This window comes from Homo sapiens, chromosome 22 (assembly GCF_000001405.40).
Source record: "Homo sapiens chromosome 22, GRCh38.p14 Primary Assembly".
NCBI lineage: Eukaryota > Metazoa > Chordata > Mammalia > Primates > Hominidae > Homo > Homo sapiens.
The window spans coordinates 46,964,329-46,978,285 of NC_000022.11; the positions used below are offsets into that span (position 1 = coordinate 46,964,329).

Sequence of the window (13,957 nt, forward strand, 5' to 3'; positions counted from 1 at the left end):
ATGTGGAGGCCCCTCTGGCGCTCCCCCACCTACAGATGACCTGCAGAGCATGCGGCCTCTGCCAGCCAGGAAGGCCTGAGAAGCTGGAAGGGAAGGACCCTCTTTGTTAAAGGGAGGCCCGTATATTCTTTTCAGTGGATCATGTTTCTTTTTGTTGAGAAATTGAAGTGCCATACAATTGATTAAATTTTTTCAAGCAGAAGTATACTGAAAAACATCCCGAAAGGAAGCAGTCTTAGTTTGCCTTGGCTTTGTGCTATAATATACATGGACCGTCTGTCCAATTTTGGTTTTGATACAGTAGCCTCATATCCTTCTGTGATTATATCCATCCAGTTTGGATAGTTACAATGTAAGCAGTTTTTTACCTGATTTGTGTGGTCCATTTTCTGGATGTAATAGAGAGGGAGGAGTGTTTTGAAATGTATCGGTTCTGGATGGATGGGCCAGCAGGGGCACTGAGGGCTGAGGGGTCGAGTTGCCAACCCGATTCCTGGCAAGGCCATGCCTGTTGAGTGACCACAGCCAGCCTTTCACGTGGGCTCGTTAGAATTGCGACAGGGGCCACAGCCACGCTGGGCACTGGTGAGCTGCACGCCCGTTCTTGCTCTGAGCGGTGGGGTTCCCAGCTGGGATGTAAGCAGCACCCACACAGGAGCAGAACTTTGGGGCCGAGCGTCAGAGTGATTTATCGAAGACCAAGGATTGATGAGGAAAGGGACTTAGGCTTCTGTAAGTGGCTCCAACCAAAGTCACCTTGCTGGAGCGGTCAGTGAACGCTGGATTGTCAGAGCAGCAAGCTCTTCCAGTTAGCACTTTGGGATGCTAGCTGCCTCATCTGAACAGCAGAGGAACCTGCATTGTGTTTTTCAGTGGGTGTATTTCTTGATTTTTCGTTGTGTTATTAACAGTAAAGTGCAAGGACACCTTCTCCACACCAGCGTGCCATTTTGCCATCTGACCTGTGGGGGCGGGGTGCCCCGCCCATTCTCATTTGTTACGGGGCCTTGTCTTGTTGCCGACTCCCCTGCCAGACGGTGAGCCATGGATGTGCAGGGCCTGGGACTGTTTTTCTCCTGGATTCCGACGGCCCCCGTCTCGGTACCGGCTGCACTGTCTGGGCTCGGCAGAGCTCTGTGGGTTTTAAAGCCTTCGGCGTGCTTTGTCAGATTGTTTTGCAGAATGCATTCGTCATCTCCGGAGCAGCAAATGGAGAACTGTGTTTTGAGTGGTCCTTGTGCTTCAGAGGGTCTGTTTCTTGTTACTTGTGTCAGTGGGGGAATCTTGGCCAGTTTTATTGGTGAGCTTGGTGAATCTTACTGAATTTATTTAGTAACTAATACACACAGGCAGAGCCTTGAGCAGGGGTGACATCTCGGCAGCAGGCACGACGTCTGCCTCATCCCGTCCCTGTGGCCGGTGGCCTGGTGTGGGGTTTCGTGATGGTGCAGTCATTGGTTCTCCGGCAGTGTGTTTGCTACCTGGAGGGGCAGCTGTGGTGGGCCCACATCTTCCTCCTGTGCCTCAGCAGTGCTGGGCCAGCAGGCCCCAGGTGGCAGCATCTCCACCCGCCTGTGCCCACCTCGTTTCCACAGCGCTGGCTTCATCACGTCCCTCCCTGACACCTGCCCAGGTGCGGTGGGCTGGCTCCTCACACCTCCCGCAGCCATGGCACTCTCCTGGGGCCCTGTGCTGAGGGTACCACTCTAACAAACAGCTGTCTTCTAGCGCTTCCCGTCCCTCTACAGGGAAGTCTCTGGGGCCTCCGCATCACGCTCCCCACAAGCTCTTCCTCCTCTTTCCGTCTGTGAACTTTCTGCCTTCCTTCCCATCACCTGCGCTCTATCCGATCCTGCCGCCCTCCAGGCTTGGTTGGAATGCCAGTGGCCCTGTGCTCATGCTTTCCAGCCCGGTCGGGCTCCGTGCCTTCTGCCCCATCACCCTGTTCATTCTCCACCTGGCAGGTTCCAGCTCACACAGCACGGCTGTGTGAGCTGCGTCCCTCTGTAACAGACGGTCGAAAGCATCGGGAGAGCCCATGAGTCTGTGAGTCAGAGGAGCACATGGGCACGGCCTCTCTTCCAGGCACTAACATGTTCTTTGTTTCGTCCTCGCTTTTCTCCCCGTCCCACAGTTTCTCACACATAGAAGTGTTTGATATTTGTTAATAGAAGAAATCACTGTTTCAACAAACAGCTTTTCTATGAACCACAACTCCTACTCACAGCATTATTGAAACATTAAAGATCCACTCAAGCCACAAGAATACTATGAGATTGGAATTTTTGCTTTTTGCAAAAGTGACCTCATCAAAACGAGGACGGCAAAAGATACAGAAGGTTTCTTTCACTTTTTACCGCAGTATCTATCCCACAGTTGATATTTTCCCAAGTGTTGCCTGCAGACTTTTTCCACATGGAATTTGGTACCAAGTTCTTTGTACAAAAAGTAGGCCAGCTGCTTCACAGACACTGTCCTGTTCCCAGGCCCCGAGGCCTCCTGCTTTGGGTTTTGGGGTTGGAGACTCCTGACTGCGGGTCTGCTTGCGGGTGGTGGGATGGGAAACAGCTATGCTGTTGGTGAGAAGAGTGTGTCGGTTCTCATCATTTGGGATCACTCTTGGGGCTGGCAGTTGATCGCTGGAGCTGGTCTGATGCTGCCACCTCGTCTAGCCATGCTGAGGGCGTTGTCCTTGTCCTGTGATAATTGTCTGCCAACGTCTCGCCCTCCCACCGTATGCCCGCACTTGTGGGCTGCAGGCGGATGGCCCAAGCTTACAGCCGTGGAGCAGAGTCGGGAACTGTGACTGTGGTTCAGTCTGTGTAACCTTGATTGAGTTGAACGTTATCCATATAAGAATTAAACATTCCCGCACTAGAGCCATTTGATCATAACGTTAGTTGTTTTTGCTGAACCAAAGAGTTTGGCGAATTTATAGTCTTGAGTTGTTATGCCACTCTCACCAAGGCAGGACTTTTTTCTCCATCCTGGAACCCAAATGTACTTAATGAAGTGTTCAAATCTCTCTCACCAAAGTACTGGAGTTTCCAATTTAAAACTCCCAAGTTGGGAAATGCAAAAGATTAGATCCATAGAGCAATTCCATCTTGCTTATAAAACAGAACATTTTTGATTACCAGTTAAGCTCCTAATTAAGTGAAGAGGCTTATTGCAGGGTTTGTGCAGTGTGGGTGATGAATGTGGTGGTAACGGCAATAGCTCCCTCCTTGGCACTCCCCGTCGGGGCTGGCTCTTACCGACAGCGTTTGTGCTATAGGTGACTGCTCTCCATACCTTGCTACCAGTGTCCTGGAATTCTTTGAAATGAAAGGAGCTGTTTACATTGGAGGGATTTTCCCCTTTCCCCAGTACCAAGCTCTTCCATGTAGTTTAATATGAGAGAGAACTTAACCCGCATCAAGCCTTTTTGTTTTCGAGAACCCCCTGGTAATTACAAGCTACGATTCCATTGCACCCCCTGGTAATTACAAGCTATGATTCCAGTGCACCCCCTGGTAATTACAAGCTATGATTCCATTGCACCCCCTGGTAATTACAAGCTACGATTCCAGTGCACCCCCTGGTAATTACAAACTATGATTCCAGAGCACCCCCTGGTAATTACAAGCTACGATTCCAGTCCTCTACTCCAGTTCCAGAGGCTGATGTCGTCTCACAGAGGTGGGGTGGGGGGCCGTGAGGGAAATGAGCCCCTTAGGAGACCCAGAGCTTGGGTGGCCTTGTGGTGACGGGCTCTTTTGCTGAATGACAGGAGAGGCACCCACGCACTGCGTGGCATGGCTGCGGGGTTGTTGTATTTCTGGAGTTAGACCTGCCTGGAGTTGGAGCTGCACAAGGGAGGCTCCGGCATGGATGCTCCTTACTGAGTCAGAGGCCTCCATGCTGTGCGGGGTCCTGCTGTGAACCCGATGAAAAGCATGTAGACTAATCAGGCAGAGCCCTGGTTCATGGCCAGGCTCTGCCACTTCCTAGCGCAGGACCTGGGTGTGTTACCTGCAGCCTCCTTACCTGCGCAGCGTGGCATGGACCCCACAGGGGGCTTTTGGATGGAGTGGGATCATGCGTGGACGTGTGCGCCCCCACGCAGAAAGTCCTGCTGTGGAAACACACTAGTGCTTTGTCAGTTGGTGGGCAGGCGTCCTCACTGCGTGGCCGGCGGTCCTGAGTGGGCAGGCGTCCTCACTGCGTGGCCGGCGGTCCTGAGTGGGAGGGCGTCCTCACTGCGTGGCCGGCGGTCCTGAGTGGGCGGGCGTCCTCACTGCGTGGCCGGCGGTCCTGAGTGGGCAGGCGTCCTCACTGCGTAGCCGGCGGTCCTGAGTGGGCAGCCTTCATCACCAGGACCATCTGGATTTTTAGCCCATCCATCCCACTGTTTCTTTAATCTTCTGACCCTTTTTGTTTTCTGGATGTGGAAAGAGGGGCCAAGAATTTCTGCTCTTTGTTTCCCTAAAACAGCTTTTCGCATATTGCAGAGTAGCAATTATGTCTCCATGTGGTTTTCTCCTGACCAAGCTAAATATCCTCCATTTCAAAAACTTAGCTTTGTTTACCTACCCACCATTCATCCACCCGTCTACCCATATCCATCTGTCCACTCGTCCATCTCTCCATCCACGTGGACTGGTGGAGTCTCAGGCTGGACGTGGTGACTGTGCAGTGCTATCCCCACCTTGTAGCACCGGCCCTGCCCACTGGATGCCAGCAGCACCCCCCACCCTAATCATTCTGACCCCCAAATGCCCTGAAAGTTTCTCAAAACATTCACAAGGGGAGTACCACCACCCGTGGGATCTTCTGCTCTAGGGGTATTTATCTGAGGAAGAGACAGGCCTTATTTAAACTGTTCTAAGTGGCTTAAACATTGTTTTTTTCTGTTGCAGAAATAACTGCTCATTGTGAAAATTGACATTCCCTTTTACTCTCTGCCCTTCTGCAGAAAATAGTGCAAATTTCCCGCCCCACTCCCCCCACCTTGCAGGAGTGTTCAGACATTCCTGTGTGTGGCATCCCTGGATGATGCCCCTCTGTGTAGATTTCTGTAGATGCAGTGCTAGACTTTTCCATGTAAATGGAGCTGTTGATAAAGGGGGGCTTATTTTACAAATTGGTTGTTTTCCTTAATACTATAGCAGGGCAGCATTTTCAAAGAAGGTTAGTTAAATCATCCCCCAAAGCCTTTCTGTGGTCTAAGAAGGCAAGCGAGATGGTTTTTAACTCAGTGTCTGTTTTTATGTGCCATGACTTCACATTTTGTTGTGGTCCACTTGGGCCTGCTGATCTTCTGCCCTGGGCTGTGGGAGCCTCTTCTGCCTCCTCCAGGTTCCCTTGGGGTTAGCCTGTGCACTCGCCATCCCACCACCTTGCGGGCTCTTTGGGGTCAGGACTGACACATTTCTCAACTTGGTGTCCCCAGAGTATAGGGGACGGGGCTGCCCCTTGTAGGGAGGTGTGGTGACTGATGTAGGGGAAGAAAGGGCCAAATGCAGTCCCAGAACACTGTGATACATGCTGGTGTTAATGTTTATAATTAAATGAGAAAAGTAAAAGATACAATCATATTTCAGATGGAAACGCGCTGGTTTAAGTTTCATTATTTTTAATTATGTGTTTGCAAAAATGTCACTGTAGAAAGTCCCCACAGTGGCCCATCTCTGTCATGGCTCCCAGGCTGTCAAGGTCCTTCCTGGCTGGGAGGAAGCTGAGGTTGTATACATCTCCCCTCGCCCTCCCCACAGCCCAGGGATGCCTGTGAATTACCCACCTCCTGGAATCCAGCTGCTTTGAGGCAGCTTGGGCATGTCTTCATGACCCAGGAAGAAATCTCTAAGCCCAGATCTCCCAAGGCCCCGGGGCCTGAGAGCCGCCCCCTGCCTGACCCCCACCCCCAGGGCCACAGCCATGGCTGTCATTTCATTAGGCCCCACCCTCCGTTGATTGGCATCTGGTTCTGCTTCCTGTCTCTGCTTTCACCTGTGTATTGATCATTTTTTCCTTTCAATCGCGTTTCTTCCTTTGAACCCTGGGATTGCTTGGAATTACCATGTCTGTGTTTTCCTTTCTCATTTGTGATCTTACCTGAAAAATCTTTTTTTCGATTGGTGTCAGTGCTGTCATCTCTGCTGTCCTATGGAGTGACACATGTTTTGGGAGATAAACCTGTCCTCCTTGTTGTGGCTTGCCCGGCTGTGAGCATCCCAATGCTGGTCAATGCAGGCCCCAGCCATGGGGCTTCCCAGGTCGTGCCTCGTTCCAGTTTGCTCCCTTCTCGTTCTCCCTCCTTGCCTCATGGGTGGCAGCATGCCTGGCGGACAGTGTGTACCGTTGAGTGGGAAGGTCTTGGGTTAAAATCTGTCATGGGTGTTGGCCATCTCCGAGTCTTGATTCAGAGACCATTCTCTCCCCACAGTGGACTCTGGTTTTGTATATCAGCATCTAACAGATAGAAGCCAGGGAAAACCTGCTGATCTTGCCTGCAGTTCCGCCTGGGCCATACACCCAGGGACAGGGCTCCTCTGGGTGGCCTTGGACCTTCCCAGGCTATCTCCCCAGGGGCCAGACACACCAGCCCGTGGGTATTTTCTGCAGCTTGTCCTGGCCCTCACCCCGCTGTCACAGCCTGGAGTCCAGAGTGCCCTGTGCCACTCTGTGTGCCTTTGCCAAAGTGGGGGATGCTTTCTCTGGCGGGGGATATTTATCTCATTCTAACAATAAGGGTAATTCCAATTCTCCTGGCGTTTAGAAGACAAATCACCACGGGGGCTCTCTGAGTTAAATGCCATTACTTCATTACCTTGAAGAGTAACAAATGGCCCATTGTGAGAAATGACACCTAGAATAGGCCACTGACATTTCCTCAGATAAAATAACAAGCCAGCTAAACAGACCAAGAGAGCGAGGCTCCTGCCTGGCTCACGCGGCGCCTGGCTCTGCGAGTCGGAGCTGCCACAGCCCAGCTGCATCTGTGCACTCAGGCAGAGGCTGTCAAGGTCTGGGAGGCCTTAGTTCCCTGTTTACTCTTATTATCTCTGAGGAAATGTCTCCATGCTTGGAAGGCCCTTGAAAGAGGATACGTCGATGGGAAACTTCTCAGAGGAAGCCTGCTGATGATTGCTGCTGATTCAGTTCCCTGAGAAGAGGAAATAAAATCAGACCCACTCTAGGCCAGCAGAACGTTGAGTTGATTCTGCCCAAACTGTTTTCCCAGGGAGGAAGTGATGCCAGGGGGAGGCCACTTACCCTCCTGTCTATTTGCTTGGCTTTTGCTGCCGGTCCTTCCAGTAGGAAAGGCGTTACGAGGGGGCTGGACTTGGAGTCGAGGCAGGCCTGTCCTGCTCACTCCCACCATTGCCTCACAAAGCACACTGATCAGCGCGTGGAGGCTTAGTTTCTGCATCTGTGAACCGGCAGAAATAACACCTCCCACCTTGGGCTGCCGTGGGAAATTGGGAGACAGGGCCTTTCCCTGGGAGTCCCTGTGGGGGCTTCATCAGAGGGTGTGCTCAGGTCAACCCGGGCTCCTGCGCCAGCAGAGTTTTGAGACCAGACACCTTGCCACTTGCTGGAGGGAGAGCCTGCAGCCCGGCAGGGAGCCGGTGGGTGGACAGAACCACCAGGAGAGTGCTGGTGTCATGGGCACACCCGGCTGGGAGGAGGGTCAGGGGACAGAGCCATGGCCAGCCAGCAGCACTTGTCATCCTAGCCCCGCATTCGAGGAATGGGGAACTGGGACCTGCCTTTTAGGGTGAAAACATGGGCCAAGAGAGTGAGGGCCTGGTTGCACCCGGTATGCTGTGGACAATGGTGTCCTTCACAAGCCCGGGTCCCAGGAGGAACCCATCCATTTCCCCATGCCACTGGGTGACTCCGACACCTAACATTGATGTTTCCAATCTTTAAAGTCGCTTGTTTTCCCCTTTAATTCATGAGCATCTTGAGGGCGTCAGGTCTCTCACTCATGTCTGTGCCTGGTGCCTGGTGTATAGGGACAGATCCCGCCCACGGGACCGGCTCTCTGTGTCCACATTACCCCTTGGTGGAGACAGCCCAGGGTCTACCAGCCGAGGCATGCAGAGACGCGGCGTGGCCTGGCCGTAGGGGTGCGGCTCAGTCGTGAAGAGGAGTGAGGCATTGACACGGGCTGCCGCATGGATGACTCTGGAGAACATTGTGCTCAGTGAGAAGGAGCCAGTCACAGAGGGCCGCAGAGCCTGATTCCAGCAGTGTGAAATGTCCAGAATAGGCAACTCCATAGAGACAGAGGCAGGTTCGTGGTTGCCAGGCGTGGGGTGGGGAGTGGGGAGCGGCTGCTGAAGGGTCCAGGGTTTCTTTCCGTGGTGATGCAAAGGCTCTGGAACTAGCGGTGACGCTTGTGACCCTACTCAAGACCACTCTGTCGCACACGCTAAAGAGTGGATTTTATGGCGGATGAATTATCTCTCCGTTTACAAAACCCAGAACCAAATCAAAGCAATACCCATGGAGTGACTGAGGGTCCACCCCCAGCACCCCAGAGAGAGGAGTGATGTGCGAACTGGCTGGAATCCGCCCACCCTCCCACGTTCCCGCAGGTCCCGCCATGTTGGATGTGTCCAGGGCTGTTGCCTCCCTGTCCAGGCCCTCGAGCGCCCAGCTGCTCACTCCTGCTGGAGGGTCAGACACGGAGGCGCTCTTGCCCTTTTATCCTGCTGGTTCTGGGGTGAACCAAGAACCGTGGGAGGTGGCGTGTCACCTCGTCTCTTCCAGTCACACACTTCAGTGTGAGTTAGCAATTGTGCAGGGCTGCGACTGGGGAAGCAGCGCGATGGGATAGGACTGTACACGACACGAATGTGAGGTGGGCCTCTGGGTCCTCAGGGAGCACTTAGGGACCTGGGTTCTGGGACCAGTAGGTGGGGCTGCATCTGGCACCCCCCTCCCCATGTGTACCAGGCTGCTCGGCATAGCCACGGCCCTGCCCCTCTTTACCCCGCTGTTGTCCGGGGCTCAAGGGTGGTGACAGCAGAGTGGTGACAGCTGAAATGAGCACGCACATTCACAGTGCGCAGGAGAGGGCCTGGCGCGTCAGCAGACCCCGGTCAACACCAGCGGCAGCATCATCCGTATCAGGATTGTGATGTTTATCTGCTTCAACCTTTCTACATATATTCTGGGTTGAAATGTTTCTTTTCTTAAAGAACGTTTTCCTTGCGAAGATGCCATGCAAATAAAACTAAAGTAAAAAAAAATTAAAAATAGGGAAGATAATTTTTAAAACATTTATGAGTATTTTGCTGGATGACAACAGTTTTGTAAGGATCTAAAATTAGTTTGTTCAAATATCTGATAAGCCATTTCAATTAGGCATCTGTTTTGCATTTTAAAAACTTTTAGATTGTGTTTTCTCATTCGGTTTTTTGTACTTTAAGAAGGAAATTATTTAGAGCGCCATTGTCTGTTCTATCTTTGACGCACATCTGTGGTACGGCTTTCTGGGGTTTTGATCATAGCATGGAAGTATTTACCCAGTGCAGTTTTGGAAACTCTAACTTTGGAAAGAGGTTTTTAGAGGAATTATTGCCAAATGAATATGTAAATATATCAGAAGCAGAGTTTTCAAAATCTTAGGAAAAAACTTTCAGATCTGTTAGGATTAAGTAATATATTCTATTTTCTCTCTTATTAGAATGTGAAATGCCTGAGAAGCAATAGTTTATAATGTATTAATTATGTTAATTAATTGGAGAAGATTCAGAATATTAATTATCTGCAACTAATTAGGTGTTAAGATTGAGAAGCATTAAGTGATGAGGTGGAAGGCTGCATGAGTCATTTAGCTAGACTGATGAGAGTGGGTGGAGGGAGCTGGATGCAGGCTCAGCTCTGTTCCTCCGTGGGCCCCCTCGTGGGTCGAGGTCCCGTGTGGCTAAGTCTCCTTGTCTTTTGCATGCTCGGCGCCGCCCAGAGGCAGAGGAGGTGGACACGGTGGACGTCTCCGGCGTGCCCGCAGAGGTGCTGTGCAACATCGAGGCCGACACCTACTGGTGCATGAGCAAGCTGCTGGATGGCATTCAGGTGAGCGCCCGCGCCCACGGGACACAGCCCACGCCCACAGCCCCTGCGGTGAAGAGAGCCTGAGGCCTTAGGCTGCTCCTGAGTCTCAGTGTGGCCATGCAGTCCCTCCTGAAGCCTCACTTTTCTACATCTGGAATAGCACAGACCCCTCCGGGTTGACGAGGGGTGAGACACAGTGTATGTGCCCCTCGTTCTGGGCACGGTCACGTGTCCTGCTGAGGGCCCAGTGGGAAGGCGAGGTGCAGAGTCTGATCCCCTGCTGCCTGCAGACTGTAGCCACCACCACCAAATAGGGCACAGGCTCACGGTAGCTATGTGTGTGTGGCTAGCTGTGCTAAGAGGGATCCTCCTTAAAGGGCCTCAGATCGGGGGCCACAGCTCCTGGCCTCTGACACCAGGCTGTGAGCCCTCGCCTGCAGTATTGGTGGCCAGGGCTCCAGGTGCGTGGGGCGCTGCAGCTGTGCCTGCTCCCAGAGAGCAACACGAGCTGGTGGGAGTCCCCTGCACCACAGTGGGGACCCTGCGGGTCTCTGCATCAGCTAGGGTTAGTGGCTGAGATTTCTGTAGAAAAGCCACAGGTCTCCCAGTGACGGCCAATCCTATGGCATGGTGTAGGGGCAGATTCCCACACAGTACCTGGGAAGGACCTTGTTGGTAGGTGAGTCAGGAATGAGGACTGGAGCCAGCTGATACTACAGAGGAACAGCTGAGGGGGATGGATGGGCCCTGGAGTGGGTGTGGGCGTCTTAGTTTATTTGAGGCCAGTACATCCTTTCTAGACACTCGCTTCCTGTGAGGTGCTGTGCTCCACACCCGGGCATAGTGGCGAGTAAGGGTGAGGCCTGCTCCGGAAGCTCACTCGGGGTGGAGGGTAGACGGGTGAGTATGGCATGAGGGGACAGAAGGCACTCGACCCCAAAGACCCAAAGGTGGGAAGAAGTAGATTACAGGGGACAGTGAATTTTGCTGACAGAGCAGGACTTGTCAGATAGAGGAGGGTCAAAGCCCAGAGCGCGGTTTGGGTCGGTAATCGTTTTCTGAGGGACCAAACACCAAGATCATCACGGGTGTTCGCATGTAGATGGCTCTCTGCTGAGAGCTGGGGCCTCCCGGGAGGGTCTGCATGTTCTGCCAGCATCCCTGTTATCCCAGCTCAAAGGGGGGCCCTCATCTGAGAGACACAGAGATGGGGTTGTCACTTGACATCTGCATTGCCTAGCAGGGCTTGGCTTTTCCTGAGCCATTGCGGTAAAGGTTGTTCCTGATACCACTAAGTGAAGAGGTCTCAGCTCATCTACTTGATTCAGAATCATCAGAATATGGCTTTTATAGCCTGTGGTCTAAGGTTTAGACTCCAAGTTTAATTTGAATATATTAGCTAAAAGGTTCCGTTGAGGAAAGACGTGTGGTTTTTGCTGTTACTTTTCATGATGTAGGAATGAAAAAGGAGAAAGTAGAAGCCTGTTGTGCGGTTGGAGAATGGAAACCTCGTATCTATTGGCTGGTCCAGACTCCTCGTGACTTACTTTGTTCCTTGCAAAGAAAAATGTGCCCACTAGAGATATATTTTGGCCCAAGCACCAATTTGTCATTTCCCCTCCTTTACTAATATTTTCATACATTTTATTCTTTCTGCTAGATCTTTCGGCTTTTTGCCCCCTTAGAAAAAGGATTGAATCATAATGTAAAACTTTATAAATTTCAAATGTCGCTTCTCTGATGGTGAGTGATGGGACTTGTGCCATTTAAATACAAGATTATCTGCCCTCTATTTGTAAATAAAATCTGCTGTACAATGAAATCGATGCTGGCTTTTTCATTTTTCACCTGAGATTTGTGGTCTGATGCAATGGTTTATTGGCAGGGCCGATGAGTGTGAGGGATCATGCTTTCCTGGCGCGTGTGTTTATAGCACATCACCGTCCCGTGGCAGCCGTTGATCTTCTCTCACGTGCCACGATGGATTCCACATGATCCTCCCAGGAGCAAGAGTTGAGGGATGTCAGTTCCCACCATCCAGGGGACTTGGCAGCTCAGCTGTGATTCCTGTAGATAAGGCCGTCCGAGCAGAGCTCCTCTAGCGACTAGTGTTTACAAGCACTGCCGCTGTTTTAAGTTCAGAGAAGTATGAGGCTATGTACTCACTTAAAACCACGGCAACACGCAGACCGGCGTGTCAGCTCCCGGACGACCTGGCCGCTTCTGCCTCTTAGCTCCTTTTCCTACTCTTGGTCTTACTGTCTCCATTTCATTCTTTTGGAACTGCTCGAACCATCTTCCTTAAGCACCCTCTTCACCACATCATCGCCCTGATTGAAACCCTTGGGGAAGCTCTCTCTTGGTTTTCTGAAGTGCAGGCTCTCAGCCCGGCCTCCACCAGTTGTTCCCAGCGTTCTTTCAAGGGCGTGTTTGTTCATCGGCTCTGTGGCAGCCGTCCACGCCGTTGCTGCAGAGGCTTTATTGGAGCCGCTGAGCCAGAACTGTGTGCTGGGGGCTCTTCCTCACCAGGAAGAGGGTCTTCAAGGGCCTCCTAGCCCCACAGTTTCTGTGATTGGTAGGCAGTCCCCATGGGAATGAATGTGAGGAACTAACATTGTCTTCGCCGTGACGGTGCTTCTTGGCGTGGGCATTCCCGGGACAGGTTGGAGCTCGGTTACACCCAGCACACAAGGCTGAGACTAAGAGAGATGAAGCCCATTGCCCAGGTGACGTGGCTTGTATTAAAACCCACGTTGACGGCTCTGGGATCTTTCCTAGCTGAAATACATAGAAGTGAGTCCCATTTGCAGGGAAGTTCTAGAGGGCAGAAACCACATCTATTTTTTTTACCTTTGGATGTCCTGGATGGTCATAACTATGTTTTTGGCTCACTTTGGAGCCTCAATTTGAGATTCCGTATTCTACTTGTTTTCAGTAATTAGTTAACTTTGTCATTTTGGCCGAGATGTATGAAGCACCTGCCTTCTCTCTGCAGGTGCTCAGAGAGGCGGAAGACTTTGGGGTGAGTCAGCATCACCCCTCTGTCCCCAAGAAGCTCAGAGCCTGGTGGGATGGAGCAGGGGGAGTGGACAGCTGATGGAGGCGAGGACAGAATGCTGGGAGAGGAGGCTCTTAGCCCCCAGTAAGATGGCAAACTAGGAAAAAGAACAAACCACTTTTCTCCCGACAAATCCCTGGAAACGTTAGGTGATTGGTCTGTTCTCGCACTGCTTAAAGAAGTGCCTGAGACTGGGTAATTTATAGAGAAAGAGGTTTAATTAGCTCACAGTTCCACAAGCTGTACAGGAATCATAGCTGAGGAGGCTTCAGGAAACTTTCAATTATGGCAGAAAGTGAAGTGGAAGCTGGTGTGTCGTACAGGGCTGGAGGTGGAGGGAGGGGTTGGGGGAGGTGCCACACACTTTTAAACAACCAGATCTCATGACCCAGCGACGCAGCGCTAGCAGGGATGGTGCTAACCCATTAGAAACCGCCCCCAGGATCCGGTCACCTCCAGCCAGGCCACGCCTCCAGCACAGGGGATTACAATTCAACATGAGATTTGGGTGGGGACACAGATCCAAACCGTATTAGCGGTATTGACCAAAGATTGTTTAACACGCATTGTGGGACTCCTTAACAGCAAAGAGAGGTCCTCCAGGAGCGAACAGCGCTGACTCCACTGGCTGGAGGGAATTGTCAGGCCAGCTCATGGCTAGGAGTGCAGGCTCTCCTGCCCTGGCGAGGTGTGATCACAGAAGCCAGTCCTGCTCAGGGAGATCAGGTGCTGCCCAGAGCAGGGACACGGGCTCTGCCATTGACATGCCCAGGCCTGTGTGCCTTGGGACTCTGCACTACAAACATTATTGAAGAGCTTGAAGAGCTTTTGTTTGTGTGGGTTAATTCT

The 13,957-nt window shown here is 51.9% G+C and overlaps 1 protein-coding gene across 16 annotated transcripts in view, besides 1 other annotated feature; it reads left to right on the forward strand.

Moving 5' to 3' along the window:
• Positions 1–13,957, forward strand: part of TBC1D22A (TBC1 domain family member 22A) — a 413,050-nt gene that overhangs the window by 201,679 nt on the left and 197,414 nt on the right. For 11 of the 16 annotated variants that reach the window (NM_001284304.2, XM_017028742.3, NM_014346.5 and 8 more), the window contains one exon: positions 9,962–10,071. In NM_001284304.2, the coding sequence (NP_001271233.1) occupies positions 9,962–10,071 (110 nt within the window). 16 annotated transcript variants of the gene reach the window in all.
• Positions 1,454–2,132: an enhancer, noted in NCBI's record as "H3K4me1 hESC enhancer chr22:47361678-47362356 (GRCh37/hg19 assembly coordinates)". NCBI's record gives its function as "activates a minimal SCP1, AML or CMV promoter by ChIP-STARR-seq in primed H9 embryonic stem cells {active_cell/tissue: H9 hESC(primed)}" and the evidence as "EXISTENCE:reporter gene assay evidence [ECO:0000049][PMID:30033119]".